Source organism: Homo sapiens, chromosome 16 (assembly GCF_000001405.40).
Source record: "Homo sapiens chromosome 16, GRCh38.p14 Primary Assembly".
In the NCBI taxonomy this organism is placed as follows: domain Eukaryota; kingdom Metazoa; phylum Chordata; class Mammalia; order Primates; family Hominidae; genus Homo; species Homo sapiens.
In genome coordinates this window covers 55,533,586-55,558,631 of record NC_000016.10, presented here as the reverse complement: position 1 = coordinate 55,558,631, position 25,046 = coordinate 55,533,586, and the positions used below count along the sequence as shown (strand labels likewise).

Genomic DNA, 25,046 nt, shown 5'->3' with positions numbered 1-25,046 from the left:
GAAAAAGTTTCCTGACTGAAATATAGCTTTGCTGCTATTGAGTATGGTGACAGTGTTAGATAGAAAATTAAGATGAATGCATCTTGAGATGTAGTGTGGAAGAGATATGACTTGCTTGTGGTAGGAGGTAAGAGGCAGATAATATGGTATATTGGCAAGTTTGCAAAAAAAATTATGTGCTTACAGAAATATGTGAGAACTGTTTTATAGGTACAGAAGATACCGCTGCCAGGGCAGCATACAACTGCTGAATAATGTGGTGCTGAAGGAGGATGAAATGAACAATGATGCTGTTTGGACATTGCAAGACATTGTTATAACTGTAAAAATGATTGTGCTATAATTACTTCTGATTTAGCCAGTGTAAAAATTTCCTAATCTTGTTAAGTGTCTTTGAATCCCTTCAAGTGTGCTGGCATAACGTCTACTCTTAATCTGAATTATAAACATATAAAATGTTGAGAAGTCATTGTTTTAAACCATTGTTTAAGCTCTTAGCTCTCACTCATCTGGACATTTAACTAATCCCCAATGAAACTGTGAAGCAGAGAGTTAAGAACAAGTTCATGAAAATAAAGAAGCGAAATTAAACCCAAAGACGGAAAGGGTCTTTTTTGTTTTTCAAAGATGTGAGACCTTTCCAAAGGAAATTATCCCAAACTAGTGAACTATGCCATGCTTTGGATCATGAATACCACATTTTTGTTGGGCCTTCAAACTGTCTGCCATCAAATATCTGAGAATGTAAAGACATGTTAGAAGGAGCCAATAGCATATTTTTGTAGGATAAATTGAGACAAAAACCATTATGAAGTTTTTGTAGACGAACCAAGAATGCAGGTGGGAAGAAAAAGTAAAAGAATGGTGGAGAGATATTGAGGTTTTCCCTCCATCCCCCAAATGCCAACCACAATAGCACTAGACTTGAGGAAAGATAAGAAAAGAAAAGAAGAAAGGGGGAAAGGAGGATAAAGTGGGAAGGGAACATGGGAAGGGCTTATGGGAGCATTTTCCACTACAGGAATTTCTAGCTGCTGAAAGAGCAACAGGGACACCTTACCTTTTCTCTTTCCCATCCTTCCTCCCATTGTGTACTTAGTTTAGCAAGATAAACTACCCTGAGAGAAACAAACTATGGAGCTGCTGAAATTTCTTGCCTTTCCCATCAAACTTCCCTCTGCTAAATCACTCACAGAGACTGAGAAAACAAGCCTAGCATGGAAAGTGGGTATGTGTATAAGGTGTGGCATCAATTGCACAATTCAGCTTCTCAAAACAAAGTAAATCTTCACAGGCACAGACATTCAGGTGTGTTCAGAACAGAAAGAGAGAGAGAGAGAAGAAGACAGAGAGAGAGAGACAGAGACAGAGAGATAGAGAGACAGAGATAGAGAAAGGAAAAAAGGAAAAAGGAAGGAAAGAAAGGTGAAAATGCATTAATCATTAATTCTCCAGACTATTTTCTCTACCTTCCAGTATGTTGGAGATCAAAAGAAAAGTGCTTTGAAGAACAGTTACGGTTTATATCTAAACCTCAGACATATCATACAAAGAAGTAAAACAAACAAACAAACAACATCAAAAAAAGCCCCACAATTATAAAATAATATGTCAGCCTACCAAATCAGTTCATGCGAAAATGCGGTAACCAAATAGGCTGCAAAGGCTCACCAGTCTTCCAACTGCCTGGGCCAATTGTTATCTCTAGTATGAGTTAGTCAATCAGCTAGCTGGCAGTTATTTTAATCTTTGGTTTATATCCCCTTCCCCACTCAAATCCTCCTATAGTTAACAGTGCTGTACAAACAATGAGGGTGTTGGCAGGTATCATCAATCATCAAAAGACAGAACTGGTGTCACAGTAATTCTTTCTCTTTTTTTTTTGAGACGGAGTCTCGCTCTGTCGCCCAGGCTGGAGTGCAGTGGCGCAATCGCGGCTCACTGCAAGCTCCGCCTCCTGGGTTCACACCATTCTCCTGCCTCAGCCACCACGCCCACCTAATTTTTTTTGTATTTTTAGTAGAGACGGGGTTTCACCGTGTTAGCCAGGATGGTCTCGATCTCCTGACCTCGTGATCTGCCCACCTCGGCCTCCCAAAGTGCTGGGATTACAGGCGTGAGCCACCGCGCCCGGCCCTGGTGTCATAACAATTCTGTAACTGCTAGCTATAATAGTTTGACACCTGAAGGACAGGGAAAGCTCTACAGATACTATTTTTAATTTTGATTAAAAATCCTGATGAGCACAATGTCTAAGATATGCTATAAACTTCGTTCTTTGTCCCTGTTTCATGTCCCTTCCTATTTCCCTATCTCCTGTCCTGGTTTGTACATCCCTGCCATATTCCTTCCCGTCACTAGTTTCATATATACATACATTTTATTTAAAATTACTTGCATGGTTTCTAAAACCATAGTGGAAAATGCTATATAAATCTCAGAAATATTAGTAATCATACAAGTAAAAAGGTACCTCTAATTTTCCAACTTGCGCAGTTACATCCAATCATCTACTTGTGGCTGGTGTGGTAACTCACACCTGTAATCCCAGCACTTTGGGAAGCCAAGTTGGGTGGATTACCTGAGGTCAGGAGTTCAAGACCAGCCTGGCCAACATGGTGAAGCCTTGTCTCTACTAAAAATATAAAAATTAGCCAGGTGTAGGAGCGAATGCCTGTAATCCCAGCTACTTGGGAGGCTGAGGCAGGAGAATCACTTGGACCCGGGAGGCACAGGTTGCAGTGAGCTGAGATCATGCCACTGCACTACAGCCTGGGTGACAGAGTGACATTCAGTCTCAAGAAAAAAACAAATAAACAATAATTTACTTCTTTCTTCCCCTAAATCTTCATTGCACTTTATAGTAGTACTGCTGCAGTCATACATTAGTATTTCATAGATGATGACAGATTATTTGTATGCTGCATGCAAGCCCAGAAGAGAAGTCCAGGCACTACACCTAAAAGAAGGTTGCTTAACAGCATCTTGTTAAAGAATAGTTCATCTATGAGATCACAGAATAAGTCATTAGAAGAATTTAGTGTGCTCTGGGAAAAAAGAAAAAAGCCCTGGTTATTTCGGTCATCAAACCATGTTTTCTTTACAAACTACTTTTTTTCCCAATAGTAAATATAAAACTGGAACTGTTGCTACACACCAAGATGGATGGAATCTTTAGCCAGCCTATCATTCTCGACTATAACTGGCAACTTTGAACAAAATACAATAAGCAACTACCTCTGGACAAAATACCATAAGAGGAGGATTGGTGAGGAAAGTCAAAACTTGAAGAACAACTAGTAAGGCTGCAAAACCATGGAGGCCACTTAAAGTAAGACATTATTAAACTGTTAAAAGAAAAGAACAGTCAACTCAGAATTCTACATACAGGCATATCTCATGTTATTGTTCTTTGCTTTACTGCACTTCACAGACAATGTATTTTTTGTAACAATTTGAAGATTTGTAACAACCCTGTATGAGCAAGTCTATCAGTGCCATTTTTCCAACAGTACGTGCTCACTTCATGTCTTCATGTCACGTGTTGATAATTCTCCTAATATTTCAAAAAATTTTATTATTATTATATCTGCTATGGTGATCTATAATTTGTGATCTTTGATGCTACTATTATAATTGTTTTGGAGCACTACAAACTCTGCCCATGTAAGATGGCAAACTTAATTGATAAATGTGTGTGTTCTGATTGTTCCATGGACTGACTGGCCATTCCCAGTCTTGCTCCCTCTCCTTGATCCTCCCTGTTCCCTGGACACAGCAATACTGAAATTAGGCCGAGTAATAACACTACAACGGCCCCTAAGTGTTCAGGTGAAATAAATGGTTGCATATTTCTTACTTCACATCAAAAGCTAGAAATGATTAAGCTTAGTGAGGAAGGCATGTCAAAAGCCCAGACAGGCCAAAAGCTAGGTCTCTTGCATCAAACAGCCAAGTTGTGAATGCAAAGGAAAGTTCTTGAAAATTAAAAGTGCTACCCCAGTGAACACACAAATAATAAGAAAGTGAAACAGTCTTATTGCTGTTATGAAGAAAGTTTGAATAGTCTGGATAGAAGGTCAAAGCCACAACATTTTGTTAAGCCAAAGCCTAATCCAGAATAAGGCTCTAACTCTCTTCAATTCTGTGAAGACTGAGAGGTGAGGGAGCTGCAGAAGAAAAGATTGAAGCTAGCAGAGGTTGGTTCATGAGGTTCAAGAAAAGAAGTTGTCTCCATAACATAAAAGTGCAAGGTATGGCAGCAAGTGCTAATGGAGAAGCTGCAGCAAGTTATCCAGAAAATCTAGCTAAGATAATTGATGACAATGCAGATGAAATGGCCTTTTAATGAAAGAAAATGCCATCTACGACTTTCATACCTAGAGAGAAATCAATGCCTGGCTTCAAGGCTTCAAAAGACAGGCTGATCCTTTTGTTAGGGGCTAATACAGTGGGTGGCTTTAAGTTGAAGTCAATGCTCACTTGCCATTCTGAAAATCCAAGGGCCCTTAAACATTATGTTAAATCTACTCTGTCTGTGTTCTATAAATGGAACAACAAAGCCTGGATGACTGCACATTTGTTCATAGGATGATTTAAAGATTATTTTAAGAACATTGTTGAGACCTACTGCTCAGGAAAAAAAGATTCCTTTCAAAATATTACTGCTCACTGAGAATGCACCTAGTTACCCAAGAGCTCTGATGGAGATATAGAAATAGGCTAATGTTGTTTTCATGCCTGCTAACACAACATCCATTCTGCCACCCATAGATCAAGGAGTAATTTCAACTTTGAAGCCTTATTAAGAAATGCTATAAGGCTATAGCTGCCATAAGAAATGCTGTAAGGCCATAGCTGCCATAGCTAGTGATTCTTCTGGTGGATTTGGGCAAAGTAAATTGAAAACCTTTTGGAAAAGATTCACCATTCTAGAAGCCATTAGGAACATTCATGATTCATAGAAGGAGGTCAAAATATCAATATTAACAGGAGTTTGGAAGAAGCCAATTACAACACTTATGGATGACTTTGAGGGGCTCAAGACCTCAGTGGAGCAAGTAAATGCAGATGTGGAAATAGCAAGAGAGCTAGAATTAAAAATGGAGGCTGAAGATGTGACTGAATTGCTGCAATCTCATGATAAAACTTGAATGGATAAGATGCTTCTCATAGATGAGCAAAGAAAGTGGTTTATTGCAATGGAAACTACTCCTGATGAAGATGCTGTGAACATTGTTAAAATGACAACAATTGATTTAGACTGTTACATGAACTTAGTTGATAAAGCAATGACAGGGTTTGAGAGGACTGACAGCAATTTTGAAAGAAGTTCTACTGTAGTAAAATGTTACAAAATAGCATCGAATACTACAAAAATAATTTTTTTTTTTTGAGATGGAGTTTCGCTCTTGTTGCCCAGCTGGAGTGCAATGGCATGATCTCGGCCCATTGCAACCCCTGCCTCCCAGGCTCAAGCAATTCTCCTGCCTCAGCCTCCCAGGTAGCTGGGATTACAGGCATGTACCACCATGCCCAGCTAATTTTGTATTTTTAGTTGAGACAGGGTTTCACCTGTTCAACTGTCAAGCTGTTCTCAAATTCCTGACCTCAGGAAATCCACCCACCTTGGCCTCCCAAACTGCTGGGATTACAGGCATGAGCCACTGAACCCAGCCTACAAAGAAATCTTTCATGAAAGGAAGAGTCTATCAATGCAGCAAACTTCATTGTTGTCTTATTTTTTTAAAGTGCCACAACCAGCCCAGCCTTCAGCAACTACCATCCTGATGAGTCAGCACACATCAACACTGAGGCAAGACAATCCATCAGCAAGAAGATTACAACTTGCTGAAGGCTCAGATGATTGCTCACATTTTTTAGCAGTGAAGGGTTTCTAAATTAAGGTATACACATTGTTTATTTAGACATAATGCTATTGCATACTCACTAGACTACTGTATATTATAAATAAACTTTTCTATGCACTGGGAAAACAAAAACTGCATATGGCTCACTTTATTGTGATACTCCCTCTATTGCAGTGCTAGAACCAAACCCCAAACATCTCTAAGACCTGCCTGTACAACAAAAATATCCTTCAGAATGAATGCAAAACAAGGTAATTCTCAAATAAGATAAAACAAAGGGTTCTTACTCTTAAGTATTTACCCAAGTAAAATGAAATGAAAACCTACATTTATATAATAACCTATATACAAATTCTTAGAATGACAGCTATAGTCACATTTGCCCCCAACTGTACACAAACCAAATATTCCTCAACTAGGGAATAGATAAAGTAACTATGGTACATCTATACAATTGAATACTACTCAGCAATGAAAGGGAATTAATTATTGATCTATAAAACACCATGCCTGGATCTCAAATGCATTATACTTGGTGAAAGAAGCCATACTCAAAAAACTATATACTGTATGATTCCATTTATATGACATCTGGAAAAAGATAAACTATATTGATGGAGAACAGATCACTGGCTGCCAGGACTTAAAACTGGGGGAAGGGCTTGACTACAAATGGAATAGCTGCAAGAAAATATATATATTTTTTCAACTGTTGTGTATCTTGAATGCAGTGGTAGTTACATGCTTCTGTGCATTTGTTAGAATTCATAGAACTGTAACCAAAAGAGTGCATTTTACTATCAATTTTTTTTTGAGAATAGGGTCTTGCTCTGTTGCTCAGGCTGGAATGCAGTGGCATGATCTTGGCTCATTGCAACCTCGCCTCCTGGGCTCAAGTGATCTTCCCACCTCAGCCTCCTGAGTAGCTGGGATTACAGGTGTGCACCACTATGCCTGGCTAATTTCTGTATACTATCAATTTTATATATTAAAACACAAATTAAAAAATAGAAAACCTGAAGTTGTGAACAGTTTTCCTAGGGAAACTTTTTGACAGTTCAATTATCTAATTGCATGTCCTTAAATATTCATAAGCAGCAAACTGTATCCCTAATATAATGGCAAATGGCCAGATTTTAATTAAAATCTTTGTTACAAAATGTCACTTGAAAATAAAAATCTATTTGGTCTTCATACAGGTTTGTGGAAGTCTAAAACCTTCAGAATAAAATTCTAAACACCCATGTCATCAATGTATGAGTTTTGATATAAATTTTAAAATTCCTGCCAATGATATAAACTCTTCCAGTTCCATACCACAAATGTGGTTATATGGTCACAATATTTATTTCTGACCTGGTATTTAAAATAATAGATACATACATTATATCATATTACACTAAAATAATAGATATATATATGATATGATATGATATGATATTTTATTATATATGACAGTATAATAAATGTTACAATACACACACACAATTATTAATATTACTATTAAGGAGAAAAAAACAAAATCATGCAATTAAACCATAGGCTCAGCCTTGATTCTTCTAACACTGACCTATCAAGTTTTTCAAATTGCCTACCATATTGATTTACTCACTGTAGGACTGACAGAGTAAAAATGTGAAAGATTAAATTTTAACATACCCTGTCAAAGAGTGCAAAAAGTTGTCTCAAGACATCTGAAACAGGCAACTTTAAATACTTGGCGAATTCTTCAATTCCAATTCTTCCTCCTTTTGAGGAACTCGCAATAGATGCATATTCATCCAAATGCTTACGAACACCATCCCAATCTAATCTAAACAAACAAAGAATTATAGATACATGTTATTAGCCCTTTACAATTCACATGCACATTTTATGATCATTATTTTATTAATGTATCTGGGAGAAAAATATTTTAAGTGTTAAATTTGTAAAGGAGAATAAAATAGGTACTTAAAAGCACATATTCAACATATATGCAGGCATTTAATCTTTTATTTTGTATTTTTTAGGAGAGATGGGGTTTCACCATGTTGGCCAGGATGGTCTCGATCTATTGACCTCGTGATCCGCCTGCCTCGGCCTCCCAAGGTGTTGGGATTATAGGTGTGAGCCACCACGCCCGGCCCGCATTTAATCTTTTAAAGGATACTTGTATAACTAACAATTATCTCAAATATCTCAGGGAAAGAAAAGTATATGAAAAGAAGAACATTGTAGTGGAATAATAAATTATTCATGAGAAGAAAATAAGAAAGCAAATATTTTAAATCTAAACATTACTTAGTGAGTCCATAGTCTGTATTAAGTTTTTAAAGATGAAATAACAATTCTTGCTTTCAAGAAGCTTTCAGGCTGATAATGAATTCATATTTCACAAAATGTTATGATAGGGGGATTCATTAGACTATACACATGTCCTCCAAGATTAGTTATGAAAAACTACGGTGATAAAACACTGGAAAATGTACTGTAGCTTACATCATAGCCTATCTTTGCTTTGTTGAATTAAACTAATGACCTAACATATATTCTTAGCCCAATTTCAGTGACTAACTAAACTTTTTAAATCTACAGAACATTGTAACTATAATATGCAAACAAAAGCAAAACATTTTTATTATCTTACAATATAAATAATATTTTCTATATCAGTTATCAAAATATTATACTTTAATACTGAACTTTGATATAGTAACTGGTTCTTCAGCTCCTTCATAGACAGGATGTTAATTAATAAATTCTGCAAATTCCAGTTAGGGCTGAGAACAGAATGAACTGCAGTAAGGGTAGAGGGAGGTTGAGGGTTACACCTTTTATAGCGAAAAGCTCAACAAGAATGTTCTCAATGGTTTAAACTAGATCAAAAGAGCAGGAAGAAGATTTTTGCCTTTTTTTTAAAAAATAGGTATCCAGAAAAAAAGGCAGATCTAGGGCAAGTATTTAATGTTCAGTGGTGGTAAGAATTGCAACTATACAAATCAATTCATGTTTCACATGTGAAGTTCTGACTACCACATGCCAGTATCATCTAATGATGCTGTCCTTGTAAGAAGGTGGCAGGACTAACTTCTCTGAGCCACTAACTCCCTCTGAGTAGGGAGGCAGATCTGTGTGGATCCACATTTATTATCCCTTGGTCTCCTCCTGTGACCAATGCACATATCTCTGAGTTAACTGTTCTTGAAAAAGCAAAAGTAGATGAATAAAATGTGAGATAAATTCTCAACTCTGACTTTCCTAATATACACCAAATGGGAACTAGAGCTGAGCATTAATAAAGCAGGAGAAAATAAACAGGATTTCAGATCCCTTTTGGACAACTTTATGAAAGTGTAGTCATTTTAAAATACACTTACTTCAATTTTCGGCTAATTTTAGTAAATTCCACCAGCCCAGCTTCCATAGGCAATGTTAGCTGTCCTGCTGAAATCATCAATCTGCAGTCTTCATAGGTATGATCTGTTACTGGTATTCCCAGAGCTCTAAAAGTATTAAGAAGCAAACTAAAATTCATTTTTTTTAAAAAAAAAAGTAATCATATTTCACTAGGCTTTAACTGGTTCCAAACGACAGCAAATGAAAAAGTATTTACTACTTTTTAAACCAGTAACTCTCGCTTTTCTTGACAAAGAGACATGTTTCTCCATTTCTTCACAGACTTACTAAGGATCAAGTTAATCTCCTTATATCTACATGCTTCTGTATGTGTAGCTGATAATATTTGCTTTGTGTTTTAACTATAATAATAATAATAGTTGCCTTCAGTCTCATGGAAAGTAATTAGAAGACTTAGGTTCAAGTCCTAGTGGAGTTTTTCACCAGCTGTGGATGAAGCCTCACTTTTCTCATCTGTACATAGGAGTGAATACTATCCTTATTCCAAATGGTTATAGTAAGGACAAAAAAAGAATGCCTGTGGAGGGTACTGTTTAAACAGATAAATGGAGCCGAACACAGTGCCTCACACCTGTAATCCCAGCACTTTGGGAACCCAACACAGGCAGATCACTTGAGGCCAGGAGTTTGAGACCAGCCTGGCCAACATGGTGAAACCCCATCTCTACTAAAAATATAAAAATTACGTGAGGCACACCTGTAGTCTCAGCTACTCAGGAGGCTAAGACAGGGGGACTGCTTAAACCCAGGAGGCAGAGGTTGCAGTGAGCTGAGACTGCACCACTGCACTCCAGCCTGGGTGACAGAGGGAAACCCCATATCAAAAAATAAATAAAATAAAATAAACAGATAAATGGCATTTGTATATAGTGTAAGTAAACAATCTATCCAAATTACTAGCTGTCTATGTTTTTCATCTTTTATAGCTAGAGATCACCTTCTTGCTACATAGCAATCTTCCAAAAATACTGAAGCAAAAGATATTTCTTCTAAACCTAAACATCCTCCATCCTTAAGGGAAAGTATAACTCCTAGTTCCTACTTCACTACTCACAAATTAAATGATAGTGAATTAGATTTGAAAAAAATACATATTTATAAGAACTGGAAAAACACCGAATACCAAAAAAAAAGGTGCAGTACATGAGATAAACATTCCTCTTCACTAAATTTTTATTCACAAATATTCAGTGAAAACCATAAAATTATGTCTTTAAGCTGTACTGGATTTTGTTGAATCATTGCTAGAAACATTAAATTTTGAATGAATACAATCAGAATAAAACATTTTTTTTGGCCAGGTGCGGTGGCTCACGCCAGTAATCCCAGCACTTTGGGAGGACAAGGCAGGCGGATCACCCGAGGTCAGGAGTTCGAGACCAGCCTGGCCAACATGGCGAAACCCCATCTCTACTAAAAATACAAAAATTAGCTGAGCATGATGGTGGGCGCCTGTAATCCCAGCTACTCAGGAGGCTGAGGCAGGAGAATCACTTGAACCCAGGAGGCGGAGGTTGCAGTGAGCCGAGATTGCACCATTGCACTCCAGCCTGAGTGACAGAGCAAGACTGTCTCAAAAAAACAAAAAACAAAAAAAAAATTTCTATCTAAAATATTTTTTCTAAGCTCTTTGATTAATAAGTGTTTTGGTATAAGAATATATAAGATGGAAAATTAAATTTTAAAATATTTTGGGACTTATAACAATAAATAGTACAGTATAATAGTTAACAGCTTGGGCTTTGGTAACAGGAAATGTGGATTTGAGTTCTAGCCCAGACAGTCACTACCTAGTGTGACTTTGGGCAAACTACTCACCTCCCCAAGTCAGCTTTCTTACTTATATCATAGAGTTGATGTAAAGATAATGTTAAATAACTTAAGTTGAGGGCCTACCACAGTACTTGTGTTTTCCAATGCTTTTATCATATACTTTCCTACTTGAGTCTCCTAATAATCAAAACCATGAGAAAGGCAAGGCAATGATTTTAACTCCCATTTCACATGTGAGGAGAAGGGGATTTGGAGGAGACTTGTCCAAAGTTGTGCAGCTAATCAAGGTTTTTCTTACTTTTTATCACAAGTCATTATTACCTCCGCACCTTTGAATTCAGAAAAAGGCTGTCTAAACAAATCCCTTCTCTTGTTTCTAAGCACAATTTGGGAAGCCAAAATATCTGATATAAGTTCTCTCAATTTTTTTTTTTTCTTTTTTGAGACGGAGTTTCACTCGTCGCCCAGGCTGGAGTGCAGTGGCATGAAAACTTGGCTGACTGCAACCTCTGCCTCCCAGGTTCCAGCAATTCTCCTGCCTCAGCCTCCTGAGTAGCTGGGATTACAGGCGCTTGCCATAATGCCTGGCTAATTTTTGTATTTTTAATAGAGACGGGGTTTCACCATGTTGGCCAGGCTGGTCTCGAACTCCTGACCTTGTGATCCACCCACCTCGGCCTCCCAAAGTGCTGGGATTACAGGTGTGAGTCACCGCGCCCAGCCCAGTTCTCTCAATTTCTAATAATTATCTTGCTTTCTACCTTTTGGATATAAGCTGGCATGAAAACATAAGAAAGGAAGAGAAGAAAACATAAAAACTAACTTTGTAGCTGATCTAGAAACTAGATAAAACAAGCACATCTATATACACTTAATAGCAAATTTTTTGCCAAACATTTATTCTATTTTGAAAATAGTTATTCTGCAGAAAAATATTAAGATACATATATTAGAATAAAACATATACTTATAGAGACACATACATATACACATATACATGGCTGGCTATATATATATGAAATCTGGCTATAAAGCTAAATTCAGCTATGAAGCTAAATTCAGAGTTCTCATTGAATTTTTACTAAGACAATAAACACTGCTGGTCTATTAGCTCCAAACCTACTACTGGGAATGACAGAGGTGGTGTGTGGGAAGAGGATGCACACCTGGAGGGCTCTGAGGCTACCTGGGTGGTGGTATAGTATAATACATTCTTTCATTACAAGATAGGGGGTGATTTATCTAGTCAGAATAATGGCCAGTTAGAACTCCCTTATGTGCAGGAAAATATTAACCTTATGTTTTATAGTTTCTAAATCCTATTTTATAGCCATCCATGAAGAGGTGACTTTTTCCCTCTTCTATGCATCTCTTTTTGCATTGCAAACTTTCTCTTTTTTGGTGCTATAGTCGAAGGGATAGAAGGTGGGCCACGGCAGGAACCACTGAGATCATCACAAGGCTCATCTGACAGTGGCGGGCCAGCTTAGGAGAATCCACCCTGTGCAAGGCACTAACTGGTCTTTTCTGGTTATTGTATCCTCTCCAGTCTTTCTGGTAAAGATATATTTCCTTATTTGTGGTATGCAGCTGGGGAAAATACTTATAGATTGTTATACTGACCTCATCCCTGGGCACATTATTTTACGTATCAAAATGAATTGGGGAACGAGGCCTTCAGGGGTCAAAAAAAAATCCTTAAAATGAGTTAAACGACATGCACAAATAATTTTCAAATTATTTATGAGTTATAATCAAATATAGACACTTACTCTGCCATTAAATTCCGGACTTTATTGGCAAAAAGGACAGGATCATTTTTTTCTTCATCATTTGGTACTTGAACTGGCATAAACTGAAAGACAAATATACCTTTCCATAACAATGTCTTAAGCCTAAGACATTAAATGCCAAGTAAATTAATTTATACATTATCAATATATTGAATCATCTACCTTTCTAGAACATAGGTTATATGAGGTAATGGGGCACTGGGCTTGTACTCAGGAGATCTGTTTCTAAGCCCTGGGTCTGCTTGTGTGTTAACTAGTATGTCATTTAACTTTGATGAACCATTTCAACTCTAAAAAGAGGGCTAAGATCACTACTTCCCTGGTGATTGTGAGGGTGAAACAAGTCAGTGTCTGGAATTCTGGAAGTGTAAAGCTGTAGCTACTAAGATCTTTCTCCTCGAGCTGCATTTTCTACCACTCTCATCCCTTTATGTGAAACTCCCATCCCTTTATGTGAAAACTTTTTTTTCTTTTCTCTTTGCCTTTCATCTTCTCTATCCATTCTAATGTCAACCATATTTTTACTATTTGTTTGAACTTTATGTTTTGTCATTTATTCTGCTTTTTAAAAAAACTCTTAGTATTGGCTTTACAGCTTTTTTGCTTAACACCATTTTTTGCTTTAGCATTTTTAATTCTACTTTTTCTCCACTTGATGTTCTGTGATGCCTCAATTGTATTGTTCTTGTTTTTATTTATGGTTTCCTGACATTAACAAGGTTTTAGTGCCATATTCAAGTTATTACGTATTTTTCAGCACCTACTATATACCAGGCAAGATTAATAGGACCCTATTTCCTGCTCTAAAGAAGATCAATATTTTAATAGTATAGAACAACACATTAATAACCCCATATGCTAAGTGTCATTACCCTTATTACCCCCAATTATAGATGGGGCTCAATAGCTTAATTAACTTACCTAAAGGCATGCAAGTCACATGGCCAGAATTCAGCCCAAGATTTGTCAGATTCAAAAAAAACCCTTATTTTCTCCACTAACCATCCTTCCTGGAGTATGAGAGCAAGAGGTAGGAAAGGATTAATTTTGTCAGGGGCCAGGGAAATGCAGCCAAAGAGGAAGGTGGTGCCTAGGGAGAGAGTGCACACAGGAAAGCTAATTCTGTTAAGGGTGCTCTATAGAAGAACTAATACTTGATGTTGGCTTTTTAAGAATAAGTGAGATTTTGCCAATAGTTACTGTTTATTGAATTATAACTACAAACCAGGCATCATGCTAGGTGTTTTACATACGTTATTTTATTTCATTAATTTTTCCCCCATAGTAGGTGCTCAGGCACTGCACTAAGCCCTACAAACATGACAGCAAAGTCCCTGCCCTCAAGAAGCTCTCCATTCAGTAGGGTAGAAATTTATGAAACAGTGAGCTAAATCCACCAATAAGAGTTACCATCCATTAAACATCTACTGTGTGCTGGGTATTTTATATTAGGGGCTTTATATGATTAACTCTCTAAACAATTCCTTGAGGTAAATCTTACCACTTCCATTTGATAAATAAAGAATGCAACTAGAAGTAGTTAAAAATACCATTTTTTTCCAAATGGACCTGTTTTCAAGTCTTGTCAATCATATTAAGAAAACTGTAAGCATTGGTATCTCAGAGGTGACATTTAAGCAAGGGAATGACATGACCAGGTCCAAGTTTTTAAGTGGTAACTTCAGCGGTAAGGAGTGTATGCACCAAAGAAGAGACTAAGAGCAGGGAGAATGTCTGGAAGCAGCTGCAATCATGGGAGAGATAATAAGACCTTGAGTAGAGGGAGTGAGGATGTGGAGGATGGCATGGATGCAAGTTGCCTTTTTAAGATAAAATGTATGGAATTATAGAATAATGTGCTACAGGATATTTACTTTTCACATTTATCTGATTATTTCCTCTCTAAGGGGGCAGCTGCAAGCTGCAGAAAGTGTTCTTGGACTGGGTTGCTGCTTGAGATCTGCCGTGTGATCCTGGAAAAGTCATTTAGCCTTTATGAGCCTCAGTGCCCTCTCCTGTCAAATGAAAAAATTTAACTAAACGATCTCTGAAGTCCTTCCCATTGGAATTCTGTGTGTGGCTCTCTATTTTGCATAGTTGTTTTTTAAGATAGAAAAATAAACTAAGCCACCAGAGGTCCCCACATCCTTATATATCTAGAATAACTATCTTGGCAAAGAAATATTTCTAAAAATTCCCTGCATCCTGATCTAGTAAAATTTCTTGTATTTGCTTAGTATAAAATCCAAGAAAAAAACAGTAAGTTGAAATTAATGTTCATAAAATCTCTAACAAAACAGTGTAAGAAATTAAAGTTTTTAATTGCCATATAATTCTTCATTTTTTAAAAAAGTCAAACAACCATTTGTAATACACTTGATTTAGGTCATAAAAGGTCATACTGAAAACCTTGAAAAATAAATTGCTGCTACACTGTTAACCAAACATAATACAATGAAATACAGGTTTGGTTTTATATTAGTGCAGGTAGTATTTTTCATAAAATGATTTTTAATAACTCTCATATTGGCGTGACATCTTATTCTTAAGGAATAAAGTTCCACTGAGAGTACAAAATAATTAAAATCCTAAATTTGACACCCATGGGCCTTGGAGGCCCCATTCCTCCTAAGAAGCAATTCAATGGAAATTCTAATAAAAAGTCACCTCTCCTAGAATAAGACCTTGCCCTCTATATCACATTTCCATTTTGTACAGTCATTCAAGGCTCACAGTATGAATGTATCCTTTATTTGGAAAGGAAAATCAATCAAAGAGAGGTGAACATGATTGCCACTATCTTTTATGGTTCCCAACAGACATCTATATACCCCAATGACTTCAAGCCCCCAAGTTTTCCTTTCTAACTTCATCTTCTCTCAGTATCCTCATTACTCACATTGATGACTCACTTGACATCTTGCCACAGATATTCTTCTAGACTCTACCTCAGCCATGGAAACAAACTTATGACTCTAATCTCTGCTAAGTTCTTCAGTTTCCCCTCATTATCCATTAGTGTTTATTTCTTCCCTAATCTGGTCTTGCATAGACCATGACAACCTAATGGTCACATCTGGATCAATCATCCCTCTTTATCCACTCCCTCTGGCAACATCTCCCTGACTATCTACACTGGACTTGGGAGTCGGATACTTCTGTATGACCTGTTACTTAGAATCTTTCACTTCTGCCATGCCCACAGTGCCAATCACACATCCTCAGCCACCTCTCCTGATCTTGCCTTCATATTCCTGTTAGGGACCACTGAGAGATGCTAAAAATGTTACATATGTTCCATGCTTTTCAAGTTGCAATTCCACTTTTACCTCACTCTTGTGAGGTACAAATGGTACTTCACTTTCAACTTTATAAAGAAGACAGCTTATGTGAATGTATTCCCTTCTATTGCACCTGAAATTGGCTTCACAGCTCCACTCCCCTCTCCTTTCAAATACAGTATTCTCTGTACCTTCCCCATACTTAACTTTGCACCATCCTGTCCCAGATGAGGAGGAGACTAAGCGACATGTTTCTCAGGTTAACATCTCATTTGTGCTTTTGGTCCCAGAGTCCCCCACTTCCTCTTGGTCCTTAGCATACAAGCAATATATAAAATTCTTCAGCCTACTATTTAAGACATCCATCAACCAAAGCCAGTCACTTACATAGATTCTCAGTATCACTAAAGCTAGTTTATTCATTTTTTCTTGACTACATCAAGCACATTCCTTTCTACTAAAAAAATGATGAGGAAGATTGAAGAATTATGACACTATAATCAATCTTTTATTTTTTCCTTGTAACAGAAAATAATTTTAAAAGGACAATCTTAACAAATGTGCAGTTCTAGTTCTTTGTGTAATTCTTCTTTTAAATCTTCGAAGAGAAAAAATGCAAAAGAAGGAAGATATTTTTAAACAATGCTTGCTGCTTCCTTCCCAAAAGAACAGAAACATCTAGATGAGACAGAAAGTAAAAGTTAGTGCTTATTGAACACTTACTATGTGCCAGCACATAAGTAACTTTATTACTCCTCAAAACTCTATAAATTTTCTGTCATTATCCCCATTTTTGTCAGTGAGAATGCAGGCTTAGAAAGGTTTAATTTTCTCAAGTACATACAGGTAGGTAGTAACAGGATTAGAACAAAAACTCTAGTTAATACCCTTTTTATTTCTCTATTAGTATTCACAAATTCCAGAATTTTACCAAGTTCCAGAAGAAATTAGCTTTGTTAGAACAAGTATATATGTAGGGTGTGTGTGTGTGTGTGTAGTTGTATGATTGAGGTTTTCTAAAAGGCTCATTTTAGATTAAAAACTACAAATAATTGTAGTGCATTTGGATACTTAAATAAACTATATAAATGTCTTTGAATCTTCCCTAAGTAATTAGCTCTCTAAAGATCTTAAAAGTGATATGTACATGTAGCTGTTGATCATAATACTCATTATTAATTGCAATCTTTCCCTAAATCAGAAATTCTTTTTAAATTAAAAAAACAAACCTTTCTATTACTTTAAGGAAATGAAAAGCCCACAACAGAGTATTTTAGGCCTAATGCTAGCCACTATAAGCTCACTATAAGCTTTTAAAGGAATTTTCCTAAAGAAAACACAATAGTCTCCCTTATCTGGGATTTTGCTTTCCGTGGTTTCAGTTACCAACAGTCAACCATGGTCCAAACACATTACATGAAAAATTCTGGAAATAAACAATTCATAAGTTTAAATTGCATGCCATTCTGAGTAGGGTGATAACATTTCATGCTATCCTTCTCTATTCTTTCTTCATCACAAGGAGAAGAGGGATGAATATAGTACAATGAGATGTTGACAGAGAGAGAGAGACCACATTCACATTCAACTCTTATCTATATTGCTACAACTGTTCTATTTTATTATTAGTTGTCACTGTTAATCTCTTATTGTGCCTATTTTATAAAATACATTTTATCAGAGGTATGTGTGTTTAGGACAAAAGTTAGTATATATAGGGTTTGGTATTTCTTGCAGTTTCAGGCATTCACTGGGGGTCTTGGAACATATCCCCTACAGATAAGGGGGGACTTATTATATATCTAATATGCCCACTACAGACAATTTTTATTTATCTATAATATATACTAAATGGCTTCTAAAGTCAACACGCTTTTAATGCAAACTGAGATATAGCCTATGAAGGAAACTGACTGCACAGTCAGTGTAAATGGCTTGTTTCCATTCATAAACTAGCTGCGGCCCACTTAGTGCTTTATAGTGTGACATAGCATGTATTCTCTCTCATGAGATAAACTAACAGACTCTTAATTCATGTCACATTTTGTAATGTTTCCTACTAGCTATTTCATTCCCTATGCCCTAAGCCATATCCTTATAAAGGGATACTTGTGAAACAGCTGGTTAATAAAAGTATGACTAAAAGATACTTTAAGAACACCCATTATGCCACATTAGAATTCAAAGAATAACTTTTAGTAGAACCATTCTGTAGACAGACAACTTCATCATTGTTCAAGGATGCCAGAAGAACAATTACACAGGACATGAGGTTTAGAACTAACTATATTTTTAAGATCCAAGAGTCGAGAAAATAATAACCTTTTCAAAAATACTGTATGTCTCTATGTTGGGAAGCAGAGAGGGCTGGGAAGAGGTGGTAAGAAAATATTCCTAAATATTAGACTCATTATATCTTAGATATCTAATGATTTTGGTAATTAAAGACTTTGGTAGTCATGATTACTGAGGGGAGACTTGTGAAACTAAAGGATATGGCAGCCAACATAATGGGGTGTCATGTGACTCACAAAAGCAAGACTGTCTAAAACGGCACTTTGATAATTCATTCAAAGTTCATTTGAAAAACCATAAAATTAATACCATATTCTTGAATAATATATCTTGAATTAGGTTTACCTAATATTCAAGAAGTTCTAAAAACATGTTTAAAATAAGATAGTAACAAGGATTTCCATCAATTTAAAAAAAAAGAAAAAAGGGGGTTACTTGAGAACAACCAAGACAATTGAAACTGGAGCAACTAAATGTACTGAGACCACAAACCAATCTCAAGCTGGGCCTCAGCAGACGTAGTGGAAAAGCTGGAGCCTCAGAGATGGCCCAGCTCTTACAGAGCTTCAAGCCAGGGTGTGGTATACTTAGTGCCTGAAGGGCTGCTGGGATACATTTTCAGTTAAATCCAACAGTGAGTATTAAAATATTAAAATATCATAAAGTATTTAGGAGTCACCTGGGTGAAAGGGGGAGTCATAAATTTAAAGTAAACATAATTAAAATAAGAATATTTGTACTAAATTTGAAGTCCACAAATTCCCATCCTCTTGTTCTGCACTACGATTCTAATTCATCAAATCTCTGTCGACGCGGCTATTTTCAAGCAGCTGAAAGTCATTTTATTTGTGAAGTTATGGAACAAAGAATACATTGTTTTCTTTGCCAGAAAAATATGATCCAAACAGGTCTCAGAACTGGCTGGAGAATGCAAATATCGTAATTAAAAAAAAAAAAGACAGAAAAAAAAAAAGAAAGCCATGACACAGAAAGGAAATGTGGTAATAATGGTCATGACAAAAAAAAAAAGAGGAATCTGAATACCTCTGTTGTAATGCAGTTTGACCACTGACATGCTATGGCAAAAAAGACAGCTTTGTATACATTTCTACATGTGTTGCTAGATCTTGTTTTAGCTACAGAGGGGTACATTGAGAGGAAGAGACAATATCTTGCAGAGAAGATAGCATGGCTTTTTTAAAGTATGAGTTTTCTTGTTTTTTTAGAAAAGTGAAACAGGCCTAGACTACCTGAGCAGCTATTAAAGAAGCAAGAGCAGTGCTCAGAGTATTTAGAAATATTATGATATAAGGCTTCCTGAAGTGTATTCTATAGAACACTGGTTCCGGGAGATATCTAGAGAAAAAGGTTCTGTAAGTCAGACATTTCAAAGGCACTGAGTAGTCTTGAGAAAAAAAAAATTCATTTTGTTTCCCTTGATACTTCCAAATGTTATTAAATTAGTTTTTGTTCCCCAGGAACCTCTAAGAAAAACCCAAGAACAAGTGTGGGTTTTCTTTTTTTTTTTTTTTTTTTTTTTTGGCCACAGTGAGAGATAACTGAACTGGTTTTAAAAGTGGGGGTGTATGAAATATAATTAATAAACAGATATTTTCAAGACAGGCAGAAAACATGCAAATCTCAAGAAAATTTCACAAAACTCATTCTGAAATGTAATTTGCCCTCCTAAATCATTTGGTATTACTGACAGTCTCTAAATGGCCAAATCACTAAGCTATCTAGCAAAGCAAAATAGTATTCTTGTGAATTAAATTCCACAGTCCTGTCACTTAGGCACTAGACCCCACTCAGAACTCTGCATGACACAGGCAAACTTAAGGTTTTCGTTACACAATCCATGGATGCAATTAGAAAATCTAGGAGACCCATTATCAAACCATCTCTCTTCGGAGACTACCTGAGGGTACTGCTAAAACCGACTGGATGCTGAATTCAGGGTTCTACTCTACATCATATCTAGAAACTAAGAACAGCTCTAGAACCAACCTTTAGAGCCTTAAAAACCTGGTCAAAATTTTCAGAATGTTGTAATAACTCCTCTCTCACTACCTGCCACTGTAATTCAAACCAAAAGACTGTCCTGTGGATGATGATATGTGCTGCCTCCCAGATAGAATTTCCTTGGGCTTTTCATGTGCAGGGTGATTTCACAGTGAAGGCTTCTGACCTCTATGTCTCTCCCCTAGACCCCAAGTAGCATCTCTTAGCTTTCACAAAACATTTTCTTTAAGGAGGTGTGGGGCTCTATCAGCTATGGTCAGTTCCTTTTGTCAGGATGTGAAAATATATCATTCAATTTGGCAGAGGTCAGCATTAAAGGAGTAAAAAGATGAGAGCAAGGTGATGCCCCTCTGGCCAGCCAGGGTGGTTACATGTTTCAAGTTCCCAGAATCTAGAGGTGTTTTCTAACATGATTTCAAGGGCTAAATCTGACAGCCTAGGTTTATATACACAATTTGTAAAACACCTGGTGATGGACCTTTATATCTGGTCTCTCTAGACTAGAGGTTCAAAATTAAAGGAAAGGCCAAATCTCAAGTTCCAAGGCCACATTTTGAATGACTTACCTCAACTTCTACCTTTGTGAAGAGCTGGCAGAAAGTAAGCATACAAAGCTGAATGCTGAAGAGAAAAAAGAAAAGTCTATCTTTATACAGTCATGCAAGTATCATCTTATATTATTCAACAATCATTTCTTTATACACAAATACCCTCACATCACACTTCACATATATTTTGCATTTATAAATGCTACACTGCAGCTATAACACTTTTTGGGCCTAGACAACTATTCTTTTTTTTTTTTTTGGGGACAGGGTCTTACTCCGTCACCCAGTCTGGAGTACAGTGGCATAATCACGGCTCACTGCAGCCTCAACCTCCTGGGCTCAGGTGATCCTCCCACCTCAGCCTCCCAAGTAGCTGAGACTACAGGTGTGAGCCACTGTGCCCGGCTTAGACAAGTATTCTTGACAATTATTATTCAAAAGTTAAATCATCAAATGAATACCAAATATGTATTTCAGTCAGAGCCTCAGCTCAACAGACTAAACCACAAATTTGAAGTTTCCTTGACAACACAGACTCAAAGGCCCAAGTCTCTAGAGAAACTACCCAAGGCCACATTTTAAGGTATGTAAATGTGTTTATAAAACTCCTAGGTAGATCATTACATTTCTGAACTGTTTTTTGACATTAAAAAAAATCAATGGGCCTTTCCTTAAAAGTGGAAGCTTTATCAAAATTGTCCCAGTTATTAATAAATGTTTTAGTTATGAGGAAATCTGAAAAGCTTCAAATTTCATTGTAAAGGCAGGCAAATGCTGTCTTTAAAGTGGTTAAGCAACCCTCTAAAAGATAATGTTTGAAATAGTTGTTCCTACTTATAGCTTTCCAGTACATATTTAGACTCTCTGGATAAGACTTCTACTGGATTTTTAGTTTAGTCTCATTAGACAATTGACCCAGAAACCAGGCAGAATGGATTAAACTACACATTTAAAAAAAGAACCAACCAATCTCTTTTCACTGTTAAGAAATTAAAACATAATTTATCTGTAAAAATTACCTGAGGGAACTTATTTAAGGAATGTAGGAGCTTAAGAATTTAGTTAAAAGAAATAATTTAGAAAGTAGATATATCACTTTCATAATTAATTATAAATTGTTAATGTGTCAGTTCACAAATCTTCCATTTGAAAGAAAAAAATCTTTTACTATCTATAAACTCTAAAGTCAATCCACACTATCTAGCATAAGTTGTTTTTAATTATTTAAATGGAGCTGTGGAATTCAATTACTTGAATAGATGCATTCTATTCTGAAAATTCTGAATACTGTGAAAAATATGAAACCACACATAAAATCTCATTTAACCTGTCTTGTCCACCCTACAGACAGACCAAATACTTCTTAGTCTGATACAAAACTTCTCTAAGTTTATTCCAAGTCTCCTTTTCCTTGGGATATTCGTTTTGGTATAAAATCTGTTTCTTAGAATCTGTAACTGGAGTAGCACTTTGAGCAAGGGCAATTGAGAAAACAGATTTAGAAGTAACAGACACAGTGCTAATAATATTAAGTAGATGAGAAGACAAAAGTGGACGTGAGATTTGCAATAGATTGAACAAAACAAAGCTGTGCCTTTCAAAGATTTTGTGTTTGTTTAAAAGTCCTGAAAAATTTTTGACTCTCAAAATATTTTTTCTCCCTTTCATTCCTGAATTCTTTCTCCTAATTTCCTTTTCCTCTTCTCACATACTTCTCAGTTGAGAAGGCTAGATTAACTAAACCCGTCTATTATATTTTCTATCCCCAGTTCCTCTTCCAGAAAAGCTTTCTCCTATTTGATCATCACATTAACCTGGACTGCTGGGCAACCAAAAAAAGTCCTATTGGCCACATCACTATCTCTGTAAGGAACTTAACCTGTAAAGGCCCAAAGGATGGCACACCTCAGAAAGTGGAAGTATGCTATGCATCCATTGTTAAGGCACTTCGTTTTCCCAAATACTTTCATACTACCTGTTTCTCCCAATTCTTCCATGTCTAAAAGCAATCAGGAATTCAAAATAAGTAATGGCATGAAACATGTATTTTAGTCAAATGAATAAATTGATTTCCTGGTAAGTGAAAGATAATATGCTGTTTAGATATCCTTTACAATTTATGTTCTTTATGTTTGGCGTTATTTGTGTATCTTCAATTATCAAGGACTGAAGCATAACAAGAATATAAGTGTTTCATATGTGTTAATATTTATTCTACTGTCTCATCAGTTACCTATTCTGATTTAAATTTATTATTTCAAAGCAATGTATATATACACAAAATGGAGAAATTATGCAGTTTTGATTTCAGAAGTTGGTTGGATTACGTTGAAGTTATCTAAAAAAGCCTACAATGTGCTTAAGGCAACTGATGATTTCCTTAAATATTTCCAAGTTATTGTCACCTACCCATCAACAATGTTATCTGAGCTTTGTGCTTAACAATATGAAAACTGGGTAAGACCCTAAAGGAAGTCTTCAAATTCAGGTATTTCATACGGCTCTCACCAAAATTTAAACAGGCTCAGACTTATTCAGAGGGAACTAAACAAACGATCTTGAGAGAAACCAAGTTTCTACATGTTCTGTTCTTTTTAAAGGCCTACTTCACATCAGCTTGCTTAATAATGAAACTGTATTCCTCTTCTCTCTTAAGTAAAGTGCTTATAGAAACTGCTGATTCCAATGCTTTTCAAATCCAAGAGCAGAACTGAAATCTTGGTTAGCTATTTTTTCAACTCATATCAGACACATCATAGCTATTTCAGGCCATATGACTAAATTTTTCTGAATGGCTTAAACCAACATAGTAAGTAAGGATAGAGACACTAGATAATGCCAAATCTGCAATGGAAATAAAACTACAAAATTAAAGCTAACTATGATGCAAACTAGGTCACTTACGAACTAGCAAACACTTGAGACCCATTTGAATGGGACAGATGACTAGAATTTTGCACACAGAAGACTCCAGGGGTTAGTGGTCAAGATAGTGATGCTCTCTACAGAGACTTATCAGTTATAAGACTTAGGGCTCTGATCAGAAATCTTTATGTTTTTAAATATAACAATATTTTTAAAATAATACTTTTTTAAAGAATGAATAAATGATCTTTCTTTTTCTTCACTAAAATAAAATTTATATAAACTAATAATAGACATAAGTGACTTACAATGTATATCCTTGCCATGTCCAGGTCACAGTATCCTATAATAACAAAATTATTTTAGCTGTTGGTCTGGAGGAAAAATACTAAATAAAATAAAGATCTTATTTTAATATGGGGATTCATGTATTTTTTCTGAAATTAAAAGCAACATGTTGAGAAGTAAAATAAATACATTATTGTTAAAGAACAGTGAACTGATCTATGAATTCTTGGATTACATATCTACATAGCAAAGATCTTCCTAATGTCAACAACTTTTGATGAAATGACTTGTTTTAATTTTTTAAAAACTATTTTACATGCTTAGCCACTTTTCTCCTAATATGAACATATCTGGATAATTAATTTGATTACAAAAAACTCAGAATATATCCGTTTTCAAAAAAAAGCTTATTTGGGGGAAATAAAATAATATGAACATACAATAAACTCAAACCTATGGGCAGAAGTACAACAAATAAAAGTTTGATAGATTTTAATTCTTTTTTTAACCATAGATGTCCAAGGTTGAAAAACCAGCCTCTAAATAGAAAACTGATTTGATCAATAACCCTTAATATTAAATAGTAGAGATAACTAATAATTATATCCTGGCTTTTAATATAAATTCTCTAGTAAAGAAAGTTCCTCTCAGAACCAAAACATTCCCTCAAAAATCTTTCTTTAGGAAAATGGTGGTAAAATCAATATTTAGAGGACAACAATGTACCCAACTGGAACAGAAGAGACTACTTCCTGAGTCAACTCTGGACTTTATATGTTAAGCTAGGCCAGATGCAGTGGCTCATGCCTGTAATCCCAGCACTTTGGGAGGCCAAGACAGGTGGATTACTTGAGGTCAGGAGTTCAAGACCAGCCTGGTCAACATGGTGAAACCCTGTCTCTATTAAAAATT

General features: G+C 36.1%; 1 protein-coding gene across 4 annotated transcripts in view; it reads right to left on the bottom strand.

The window, feature by feature from the left end:
• LPCAT2 (lysophosphatidylcholine acyltransferase 2) overlaps window positions 1-25,046 on the bottom strand; it is a 77,595-nt gene that overhangs the window by 28,035 nt on the left and 24,514 nt on the right. For 3 of the 4 annotated variants that reach the window (NM_017839.5, XM_047434277.1, XM_011523169.4), the window contains 5 exons: window positions 24,155-24,189; window positions 21,000-21,054; window positions 12,815-12,897; window positions 9,230-9,355; window positions 7,530-7,683 (listed from right to left, as the gene is read on the bottom strand). In NM_017839.5, coding sequence (NP_060309.2) covers window positions 7,530-7,683; window positions 9,230-9,355; window positions 12,815-12,897; window positions 21,000-21,054; window positions 24,155-24,189 — 453 coding nt within the window. Of the gene's footprint in view, window positions 1-7,529; window positions 7,684-9,229; window positions 9,356-12,814; window positions 12,898-16,602; window positions 16,795-20,999; window positions 21,055-24,154; window positions 24,190-25,046 lie in introns of those variants that run through there. The other variant, XM_005256006.4, reaches the window with a different exon arrangement.